Consider the following 12,122-nt stretch of genomic DNA (forward strand, 5'->3'; position numbering starts at 1 on the left):
ACATCTGTTTGCTATAGCAGGTTAAGTTCTGTTTCCCTAGGGTTAACACCTGTTGAAGGAGGGGACTTACCTGTGAGCTGGCAATCTGGGCATTGTAGGATAATTTATTTAGCCAGTCTCTGAGTAAGTTGATAAGTTTCTTCAATTTGGATGGAAAAATTCATGCGATTGGGTGGCTTGGTCTAGCAGTGATGGCTTAACCTGTAGGTTTGCTTGATCACTGCTCATAAGCCAATGGGCTAGGAAGTAAGCTGTGGGCTCAAATATGTGTAATAAAAATGGGACTTGTATGTTGATCTAGCCAATTGCTGAAGTTGGAGAAAGAGTAAACCGTCCTGGCTCCAGAATAGAGTTAAGGCTGTAAAACTTCTTTAATAAATAAACAGAGTAACCTTAGCTTTCTGTTTGCTAGTAAACTCAGATTGCATGATTGAATTATATGGTCTCTACCAGACTGCTGCTTTTCCATGTTTGCGGACCCATCAGTAAACCGTGTTAAAGCATTAGTTACAGGGGAGTAAACTCTTTTTGTAGGCATTATTACCGGAGTATGAGATAAGAAATGAAAGACTTTATCAGCAGGGAGGATGTGCTTTATTTGCTCTGTGTAATGAGATAAAACTATTTGTGGGTGTATTGACAAAGATAATGAAGCTTTGAATTGCTCTTTACTTAAAGGAATCATGATGATATCGGTTATGTCGCAACTGATTTTTAACGTTTGTGACCTGAATAGATGACTTTAGTAATTAACTGAGTATAAGGAGACAGTGTTTTAGTCCCGGTATGGGGGCAAAAAACCCATTCTAGGAAACATAGCCTGGGAGTCATTTGTCCTAGTAACCCTGTAGGGGAGTGTTAGGTGGAAAAAATAAATAGCTGATTGGAATACGGTGGATCAATGCGATCTAGCTTCCTTTGAAAGACGGCTTGCTCAATTTCCTTGATTTCCCTTTTTGCTGCAAGGGTTAAATATCTGGGAGAATTGAGGGCTGGGTTGCCCTTTAAGATAGAGAACAGGTTTTGTAGTTTATTGGTAGGAATTCCAACAATGGGAGAAATCCAGGTAACATTGTCCAATAATTTCTGCTAATCATTTAATGTGTGTAAGTTGTTAGTACTTAGGTTAAACTTTTGAGGTCTTACTGACCAGGAGATTAACAGATATCCAAGATATTTTCAAGGAGGGAACATGGGTACTTTTTCAGGTGCAGTGACTAAACTTTTCAGTTGTGTATTCCTTATGACAGAGGTAAACAAATTTAAAGGTATTGGCTCCGTTGGGGCTGCTAGTAAAATATCATCCATAAAATGAATAATCATGTAATCAGGAATTTTTTTTCTACTAGTTAAAAAACAAAGTTTGCTTTTAACTACTTCTAAACTAACTCATGGGTTGTTTGTAATGTCTCAACCTTTAAACGTTACTGTTTTACTTGAATTTGGTGAGCTTCATCAGGGTGGAAGAGAGATGACAACAGTGGAGGTTATTAGAAAGAGGTTTTCTAATTCTTACATTTTACTTAAATTTTAGCTGAGAACTATAATCTGTGATGTTGCTTGTAAACAAGCAGCACATGAGATTTTGTCTTGGATAGCCTGTGGAGTTAGAGAAAGGAGCAGGCAGGTCCCGGCGCTGTGACTGCTTTACATTTATAAAGTCGCCATTTTTGCCTGTGCCATTTTTTGCCTGTGCTGGCTCCCTTCCCCAGCTGTGGGACACATGTGGCCTGGGTGGAATTTGTCACGTGTGCTTCTGTTCCACTCGCAGCAGGCTAGCTCTGGCTGCAGCTTGGCTCTTTGTTGCTTCTGTCACAGTGTGGGTGGAGTTTTTCTTTCTACTTACTGCTTCCTTGTCCTGGCCCTGTGGCTCTGGCTTTTAGTGATTATTCTTAACCCTTTATGTACCTGATTACTTGGCTGATTTTGCATTACCGGGCAGGCTAATAACTCTCCTTTTATTGCTGCCAGCTGAAGACAGGGACTAATAACTGGAGGGTATTCCTGGTCCTTTTTCTTACGTATTGAAGAAAAAGGCTCAGGTAAAATATCTGTTTCTTCTTTGTTATTTTGGCTCAGTAATATTAGGGCTGACGGAAGAGGAGGTGATAAGGCAGGTGACATTTCCTCCTCGTTCCCCTTTATAGTCTGTTCTGTGTATAATGGAGACAGGGCTGCTGTAATGAAAGCCCATAACAGCTGGGACCTGTTGCCTTTGTGTCTGATGTTGAAGATTTATCCCCACTTGTTCTCAGAGTACTACATCCAGTGTTCCTTTTTCTGGGAACCATGATCTTGGGATTGTGTCCAGAATTGATTCCTTCCAGTGGGTTATTGGTCTTGCTGTCTTCAAGAAGAAGATGCAGACCTTCACAGTGAGTGTTATAGCTCCTAAAGGTAGTGCGGACCCAAAGAGCGAGAAGCAGCAAGATTTATTGCAAAGAGTGAAAGAGCAGAGCTTCCACAGCATGGAAGGGAACCAAAGCAGGTTGCTGCTGCTGGCTCGGGTGGCCTGCTTTTATTCTCTTATCTGGTGTCACCCACATCCTTCTGAGTGGTCCATTTCACAGAGTGCTGATTGGTCTGTTTTACGGAGTGCTGATTGATCCATTTTTATCCAGTGCTGATTGGTGTGTTTACAAACCTTTAGCTAGACACAGAGCGTGATTGGTGCATTTACAATCCTTTAGCTAGACAGAAAAGTTCGCCAAGTCTCCTACCCAATTAGCTAGACACAGAGCACTAATTGGTGCATTTACAAACCTTTAGCTAGACACAGAGTGCTGATTGGTGCATTTACAATCCTTTATCTAAACAAAGTAGTTCTCCAAGTCCCCATCTGACTGAGAAGCCCAGCCAGCTTCACCTCTCAATCCCTTCTCTAAACAGGACATCTCAACTGCTGTTGGGAATTGGCCAATGACCTCTCTAGCTACTTCCTGCTAGATAGGGGCAAAGAATTATGCTGCAGTTGTAGTGTCCTCCAGAGGGGAACTCTTTAGGCCACAGAAAGGGCCAGGAGGTTGGTCCAGGGGTCCTCAGTAGAAGCTGTTAGTTGAGCTCATTTGGGGTTCCATTTGTAAGACCATCTCTAGGTTGATAGCCTCAATTCTAGAAGAAAGAAATTTGACAAGAAGGTTAACAATACAGGGCCCGAAGGCAAGTAATGGCAAGATGGCTGCCATGGGAGCTAGAAAGGGGAGGAGCCATGTTGCCCAACTCCAGAGGTTGGTATAAGGGTTTGAAAGATGTCTGATTTCAGAAGCCTTTTCCTGTAAACACCAGGCAGCATCTCGTACTATGCCTCACTGGTTAGTGTAAAAACAACTCTCTTCCCCTAAGAAGGTGCAGAGTCCTCCTTTCTCAGCAGTGAGGTGGTCTAGTCCTCTGCAGTTTTGGAGTGTCACTGCTGGTAAAGAATCTAGCTGGGATTGTAGAGTAAGGATAGATTTTGTTATTTCTCACAAACTATCTGAGAAATCCTTTGAGAGTGTGTGATGGTAAGAAAATGAAGTAGATAAATCTGCTATTCTGGTTCTTGTAGCAGTGGCCATTTCTAACCCTATAAGTAGGGGTATTAGTTGTATGGCCCTGCAATGATGGACTTGAGCTTTGAGGGGCACTGATAGGGCCTGATTTCCTGGGGCAATGTTAATGTTGGGACTTAGAAAGACTAAGGTGCAGGTGCCTGTCCAGTTAGTGGGGAGGCAGATATAGTTTGACATTCCACAGGAGAAGAATATGCCTTGGCTGGGTAGATATTTAGAAATTTACCCTGGCTTTTAAAGGAATAGGGTATACTGTTTTTTCTTTACTATTTCCATATCTCTTTCATTCTCTTTGACTTCTCCTTCATCTCTCTCTTTCTGTCTTTCTGACTCCCTCTTTGTCTGTCTGTCTCTTCCTCTCTCTCTCTCCCTCTGACTTTCTGTCTCTTCCTCTTTTTCCTTTCTGCTGGTCTTTCCCTGCCTCTGCCAGCTGCTTATGCTACTGTTCTCCCCTCTCCTTCCCCTTTTGATGGCTTTGGCAGTGTAAGAGTGCCATGCCACCTCCGTGGGTTTTTGCACTGTGTGCAATAACTCCATGATTTCCTTGTGGCATTTAATGGGGGTTTCCCCAGAGGTTAGGAACTCCCTTTCTTTCCATATTGCAGCATGGGCATGTAGGATCAGATGAGCATACTTGCTATCTGTATACACATTTATTCTTTTTCCCTTTCCCAGTTCTAAGGCTTGGGTAAGTGCCAGTATTTCTGCTTACTGGGCTCTGGTCTCTAGGGGAAAACACTTACTTTTAAGTATAGTTACATCACTAACTATGGCATAACCTGCCCTTTGTATCCCATTCTTCACAAATGAACTTCCATCAGTATATAGGCTAAGGTCAGGATTACCTAAGGGGACTTCTAAGAGATTATCTTGTGCGGCATAAGTCTGGACGATAATTTGTTGGCAGTCATGCTTGATTGGATCCCCATCCTCTGGGAGAAAAGCGGCAGGGTTGAGGGCCACGCATGTACATATTTGAAGCACCAGTGCCTCAAGGAGTAGCACCTGGTATCTAAGCAAGTGGTTGTCTGATAGCCATAAACTTCCTTTGGCACCTAGTATGCCATTTACATCATGAGTAGTCCAGACAGTGAGATCCTTTCCTTGTATTATTTTGATAGCCTCTGACACTAAGACAGCCACTGCTACAGCTACCCATAAACAGTGAGGCCAGCCTTTTGCTACTACATCCATTTCCTTACTTAGGTATGCCACTGGTTGGGGGATTGTTCCACAAATCTAAGTAAGAACTCCAAGAGCTATCCCTGCTCTCTTGGTGACATATAAAGAGAAGTTTTGTCCTGTGGGAAGGCTTAAACCGGGAGCCTGTACTAGCGCCTGCTTTAAGGTTTTAAAGGGTACTTTTGCCCCTAGTTCCCATTCTACTAGATGAGTATTTACCCTTTGGGTCTCCTTGATTACCGTACAGAGTGGTCTGGCCATCTTGCTGTATCTGGGGATCCATAGTCGGCAAAAGTGGGTGGTTCTAAGGAACCCCCGCAACTGTTTTAATGTCTTGGGGTGAGGATAAGCCAGTATTGGCTGTTTTCATTCCTTGCTGAGGGCCCTGGCCCCTCTGGCTAAGATTAGGCCTAAATATTTGACCTGCTGTAGGCAAAGTTTGGCCTTTGACCTAGACACCTTGTACCCTTGATTAGCTAGAAAGTTCAAGAGATTTAGACTAGCCTGCTGGCATGAGGCTTCCAAACCAGTAGCCAAAAGTAAATCATCCACAAGCTGAAGGACCAGAGTCCCTGGACATGACAAGTGGCCTAGATCTTGGGCCAGTGCCTGACCAAACAGATGAGGGCTATCCCTAAACACTTGAGGCAAGACGTTCCATGTAAGTTGGGACGTGTGATCTGTGGAATCCTCAAAGGCAAAGAGAAAGTGGGAGTCAGAGGCAGAGGAATACAGAAGAAGGCATCCTTGAGGTCCGGAGCTGTGAACCATTCTGCTTCCTCTGGTATTTGAGAGAGCAGGGTATAGGGGTTGGGTACAACTGGATATAGAGGAATTACTGCCTCACTGATGAGTCTAAGATCTTGCACTAGTCTCCACTGACTGGGTTTTGGTCTCCTAGAATTGGAGTGCTGCAGGGACTGCTGCATTTCCTTACTGAGGCTCAAGATTTTAAATGTTTAACAGTATCCTGTAATCCTCTATGAGCTTCAGGCCTTAAGGGAAATTGCCTTTGATAAGGAAAAGTGGTGGGATCTTTTAGCCTGATTTGGACTGGGCAGGCATTTTGCCCTTCCAAATTGTCCTTCCAATGCCCAAACTTCAGGGTTAATTCCCTCCTCAAGCCACAGACAACAAATGGGTAACTTGCTCCCCATATTCATGTAGATAATAGCTCCAGCTTTGACTAATATATCCCTCCCTAATAAGGGTGTGGGACTTTCAGGCATATTAAGAAAGGCATGTGAAAAGAGCAAAGTCTCCCAATTACAACTGAGGAGTTGGGAGAAATACCTGGTTACAGGCTGTCCCAGCATTCTTCAGATGGTAACGGATCTTGAGGACAGTCGTCCAGGACAGGAGATTAACACCGAGAAGACCGCATCAGTGTCCAGGAAGAAGCCAATTTCCTGGCCATTAATGGATAAGCATACCCATGGCTCAGTGAGGGTGACGACATGAGCTAGCACTTGCTCCAGGCACCCTCAGTCCTGTTGTTGGATCCTCTGGTTGGGGTCTTCTGGCCCAGAGAACCATTGTACTCTGGGGCAGTGCACCTTCCAGTGATTGCCTTGACATAGTGGACGTGGACAAGGGGGCAGCTTGTTTCTTATTGGATGATCTTTTTTTTTTTTTTTTTTTTTGAGACGGAGTCTCGCTCTGTCGCCCAGGCTGGAGTGCAGTGGCGGGATCTCGGCTCACTGCAAGCTCTGCCTCCCGGGTTCACGCCATTCTCCTGCCTCAGCCTCCCAAGTAGCTGGGACTACAGGCGCCCGCCACTACGCCCGGCTAATTTTTTGTATTTTTAGTAGAGACGGGGTTTCACCGTTTTAGCCGCGATGGTCTCGATCTCCTGACCTCGTGATCCGCCCGCCTCGGCCTCCCAAAGTGCTGGGATTACAGGCGTGAGCCACCGCGCCCGGCCTGGATGATCTTTTTTTTTAAGTGTCCTCGTAAACCACACTGATAACAAGCCCTACCGGGTGATTGCCCTGCTCCCTTTTCTGTCCTCTCTGAAACACCAAGGTTTGTTTGTCTGAGGGCCATGACTAAGGCAGCAGCATTTCTCTGATCTCACTTTTCCTTTTGGGCCTGTTCCTCTTGGTCCCTATTATAGAACACCAAGGTTGCCAGGTTTAGTAATGCCTCCAGATTTTGTTCAGGGCCCAGGGCTTGCTTTTGGAGTTTCTCCTGATGTCTGTGGCTGATTGGGTAATAAACTTATCTTTTAGAATCAATTGACCCTTGAGTGATTTGGGTGACAGGGCAGTATATTTTCTTAAGGCCTCCCTTAGCCACGCAAGGAAGGCAGAAGGATTTTCTTCCTTTCCCTGAGTTATGGTGGATATCACTGAATAATTCATGTGCTTTTTCCTAATTTTCCTTAGTCCTTCTAGAACACAGGTGAACAGATGTTTATGACTCTTGTCCCCATGATCTGAGTCAAGGTCCCAATAGGGATCCACACTGAGAATGGCTTGCCAACCCGTAGGGAATTTTTCCCTTTCTTCAGCTGTCATTCTATCATTTACTTGACTAAGATACAAGGTATCTCCAAACTCTCAGGCTAAAACTAAAGCCACATTCTTTTCATTAAAGGTCAGGGTTTGATCTACCAATAGCATGACATCTCTCCAAGTGAGATCGAGGCTTTGCCCTAGATCCTGTGGGACATCTATGTACCTATCAGGATCATCTGAAAGCTTTCCCAGGTCTACCTTGATCTGCTTTAAATCAGAGAGGGAGAAGGGGACATGTACCAAGGTTGGGCCAAATTCCCCTCTCCCTAGAGCTTGAAGGGGATGTAATCGATAGCCCGGGGAAGGGTTGTGTTCCTTTGGAGATTTCTTTGCTTGTTTCCTTCTGGGCAGGGGAGATTAGAGGAGGCTTATCATTAATAGGAAGGGGAGCTATAGGGAGGCTAGGATATGCAGGTAAGCTGAGTGTTCCTCCTGTGGGATGTAAATTGCAAGCTTTGCATAGTTTTGTATTCTCCTTCAATGAAAAGAAAACTTGGACTTAAGGTATTGCACTCCTTTTGCCTTACCTCTTACAGAAAAGGTCAAGCTACAGTATAGTATTGTAAGTTATATTTCTCTCAGGTGGCCATTTTTCCACATCAGAGAGAGAATATTGGGTCCTGGCCATAGTGCAGAAAAAAATAAGCCACCACTTTTTCAGGGTTTGTGGGTAAAATTGGTCCCAATGGCTTAGGATGCATTGCAAGAGTGGGTCTGTTAATGCCTGAGTGTTTCCCATCCGAAAGAGAAAACGGCCCACTCTTTTTGTTTGTTTGTTTCTCCACCTGCCCAAGAACCCACAATGGATCCTGGACCCTGCTGATCAGAATAGTTGTGCTCACTGATGCAGCAGCAGAAACACTGGTTTTCCTCCTGGACCACAACAAAACCTGCAGCCTTGCCTGTCCACCCAGACCACAAAGAGGACTGAGAAAAATCGGATTTAGTGGCCCTTACTGACATATTCTCAAAAACCTGTTAGAGTCCTAAGCATTATCCTGTTAATATTGGGAATTTATCCTTGTCCTATAAAGATGTTATGCCCCAAAAATGAAGTGGAGGGCCATACCCTGAGGGAGGGAAGAGATCACCAGAGTCAGAAGAGTGATGCCTTTTGTCCTCACTTATATGAATAAGAAAGATACAATTTCTGAGGCGTCCCATATCCTAGCTTCAGGAATAGGTTTTGTTAAGCCTGTTTGTCTGAGGAGGGATCCTAAAATTCCAGATAGTCCCCCTTAAAATGGGGCTTTGGGCAAAAATTCTCTCTTTCTGATTGCTGAGCCTGAGTGCCAGGAGAAGGGAATAGAGTCCTGGAGTTTATACCAGAAATAGTTCTTACAGGAGAAACTAGAAAAGCACCAGAGACAGGGAGTGGTTTTTAGAAGCAGGACTAGCCTCAGAGAACAGAAGCAAGAGGAAGATTGTCTGACAGGCTTTAGGACCCAGGAGGCAAGGCTCAGGATAGATAGGATAGATGGGAGAGTCTCGCTTGGGCGACATGACTAAGAGTTCCGCCATGGCTGCAGGGTCAACCAATTTGTTGTTGGGACCATGGAGCTGAATGGTTTTCCTATCAACCCTCATCTCAGCCCAGAAGTACAGGGAAAGTGGAAGCTAGTTCCATGCAAACCAACACTCCCAACTCCGAAGAGTTGGGGTTGCTAGAGAGCCCTTTCCCAGAAAGCCTGGCACCCATGTCTTTAGTTCAGTGACCAAGCTAGTTGCTTTTAACTGGCTGACAGGTGCCTGCTATTTAGCCCTAGAATTCTAAGGAAAAATAGGACAGAATAGCAAGCACAAGGGGTCGATGGTACTCACTGCTTGGCAATAGGCAATAGTCCCTTTGTGGTCACCAAAGTGTGTCTGGAATTGATTCCTTCCCATGGGTTCTTGGTCTCACTGACATCAAGAATGAAGCCATGGACTCTCACGGTGACTGTTACAGTTCTTAAAGACAGTGTGTCCAGAGTTTGTTCCTTCAGGTGTTCATGGTCTCGCTGACTTCAGGAGTGAAGTTGCAGACCCTCACAGTGAGTGTTACAGCTCTTAAAGTTGGTGTTTCTGGAGTTGTTTGTTCCTCTCAGTGGGTTCATGGTCTCGCTGACTTCGGGAGTGAAGCTGCAGAGCTTCACAGTGAGTGTTACAGCTCTTAAAGGTGGTGCATCCAGTGTTGTTTGTTCCTCCCGGTGGGTTTGTGGTCTTGCTGGTTTCAGGAGTGAAGCTGCAGGCCTTCATGGTGAGTGTTACAGCTCATAAAGGTAGTGTGGACCCAAAGACTGAGTAGCAGCAAGATTTATTGCAAAGAGCAAAAGAACAGGTCTTCCACAGTGTGGAAGGGGACCTGAGTGGGTTGCCACTGCTGGCTGAGGTGGCCTGCTTTTATTCCCTTATTTGTCCCCACCCTCATCCTGCCGATTGTTCCATTTTACAGAGTGCTGATCGGTCTGTTTTTAGCAAGTGCAGATTGGTGCATTTATAAACATTTAGCTAGACACAGAGCACCAATTGGTGCATTTACAATCCTTTAGCTAGACAGAAAAGCTCTCCAAGTCCCTTACCTGATTAGCTCTACACAGAGCACTGAGTGGTGCATTTACAATCATTTAGCTAGATAGAAAAGTTCTCCAAGTCCCCACCCCACCCAAAGCCCAGCCAGTTTTACCTCTCAGGATTACAACAGTTTGCATTATGTCCCCTAATTGAGCCTGCAAAACTGATGCTCCACTAGCCTTAAGCAACTGTTTCAACACTTTTATATACTGTTTCTGTTGAGCTGATAAATGTTGTCCCATGAGAATACCTCAGCTTGACCCAACTTCTCCCAGAACTTGGTAACCTCGAGTGGGCACCAATGACTTACTGATTAGTCACTGACTTCACCACGTGAATTCTTTTTCCACCTTTGCTTTCAGGGAGTCTGTCGCATTCCTCACTCTTCCTCTACAGCTTTCCTCATGAGGGTGGTTCTCACACTTCCTTCACAGACTGCCTCACACAATGGGCTCCAACTGCAGACCTGGCGATGGGTGAATAAACTACCTGACACACAGATATCCTGCTTTGCCAGCAGCAGAGGGTCCGAGGCCACTCCCAGACTCCACGGAGAGTCCTGTAAAGAATGGAGGCCCACCCTGAGCAACTCACCCTCCAGGCATTTATTTAGTATAGAATTAATCACAGAAGCTTTGAGTAAACACACTTGTGGATAATTAACATTGTTAAGAGAATAGTTCTGTGAATGATTAAACCTCAGTTACCACAGTCTAAAGTAAATACCATTGGGGGCAATTTCTCTGGTCGAACTCCCTGGAGAGAGCCATCTTAGTTAGTGGAGGTAGAGTAAACAGACTTAACTGGAGAAGCCTCAGTTGTCCCTAGTATTTACCCTATGACCTAATGCTTTAAGGTAAGAAGAGGTTGCCTTCAGCCTGTTCAATTATTACAAGCTATATAATAATTTTAGCCTTTTAGCCTGCCAAAAAGGTTTGTTACTATTCCTTATAACTTTTCCTAATACTTCCCTGTAATATTTCTGCCAGCGGCCTGAGTGAATCCAAACAATTAACATCTAAAGAAACTTGCCTATTCTAACTCTTGAAAAATAGTATGCTCAAGAATTTGTCTAGGTTTCATGTATATGCAGATATACTAGTTTTCTTTTGGTTTTTACTTCCAGTTATATTTTATTGTAGTCAGAAATAATATTTTTTGTGATTACCGTCAGTTTAAATATGCTAAAACTTGCATTCTAGCTTAAAAGTTTGCCTATCTAAGAAAACATGCCAAATGTATATAGAAATATGTACTATGCAATTGTTGGGTGAAACATTTTGTAGATTATCCCCAGGTCTTATTTTGCTCTTTAACTTTTATTTTTCTATATATTTTTCTTTTTCTTTTTTATTTTTTATTTACTTTCATTTTTTCTATGCATTTAAATTTGTTTCTATCTTTTATTTTTTATATTATTGTCTCTTCATTTCAAATGTTCTCCAATTTGTGTCTTGTTTGAAACATTTTATTTAATTTCTTTTTTATCTTATTTACTCCCATTCTTATCCCTTTATATTATTTTATTTTATTTCTCCATATTTATCTTTATTTTTACTTTTATTTTTTCTCCTGATTCATAAAGTTTTATTTTATTCTATTGCAAATTGTTTCATTTCTGTTTATTTCTCTTAATTTTATTGTATTTATTTTCTTCATCTTCATTTTATTTACTTTCCCTGATCTTAATTACATTTCTCTTTATTTTTCTCTATTTTGTTTCAGTTTATTTGTCTTTACTATTTTTAATTACTTTAAACTTATTTTTTAATTTTTTTCTCTTGATTTTACTTTTTTCACTTTATTTTTCTATATTTTGTATTGTAAATCAGAAGAGATAAGCTATTTTAGATTGACCCAGCCATAGTGGTCAAAACTGGTGTTTGCTCAGGCTCTCTGGCAGCCACTCTACCTCAGGTATCTCCAATCCAGGGTATAGTCAGGGCCTTCTAGCAGGATTGCTAAGATCCCTGGGCAGATGTTTCATTGTTACAGAGCCATCTAGCATTAAGTCCACGGGCTATTTATCCTGCTTTCCGAAGCCACCTGTAAGCTTCAGTGTTGCTAGGCCAAGGGCCTGGCTGCCCCTTTATTTGTGTGCCAATTCATCCTTCACACATAATCCTGGGTACTGGCCCTTCTTCCTTCTTTACAAAGACAGGCTCCACACCCACTCCACTCCACCAGGGCATATCTAGAACACATGTGTGTCTTTTTGTTGTAAGAAAGAAAAAATATTTTTCTGTTTGTCTGTTTTTGAGACAGAATCTTGCGGTGTCACTCCACCTGCAGTGTGGTGACACAATCTGGGATCACTGCA

At 43.3% G+C, this 12,122-nt stretch overlaps 1 long non-coding RNA gene across 1 annotated transcript in view; it reads right to left on the reverse strand.

Moving 5' to 3' along the window:
• TTTY4C (testis expressed transcript, Y-linked 4C) overlaps positions 1–10,273 on the reverse strand; it is a 36,810-nt gene extending 26,537 nt beyond the window's left edge. Inside the window, exon 1 of the long non-coding RNA NR_002177.1 lies at positions 10,113–10,273. This is a non-coding gene — a long non-coding RNA (testis expressed transcript, Y-linked 4C). The remainder of the gene's footprint in view (positions 1–10,112) is intronic.
• Between the last annotated feature and the right edge of the window lie 1,849 nt (positions 10,274–12,122).

Source organism: Homo sapiens, chromosome Y (assembly GCF_000001405.40).
Source record: "Homo sapiens chromosome Y, GRCh38.p14 Primary Assembly".
Lineage (NCBI taxonomy): Eukaryota > Metazoa > Chordata > Mammalia > Primates > Hominidae > Homo > Homo sapiens.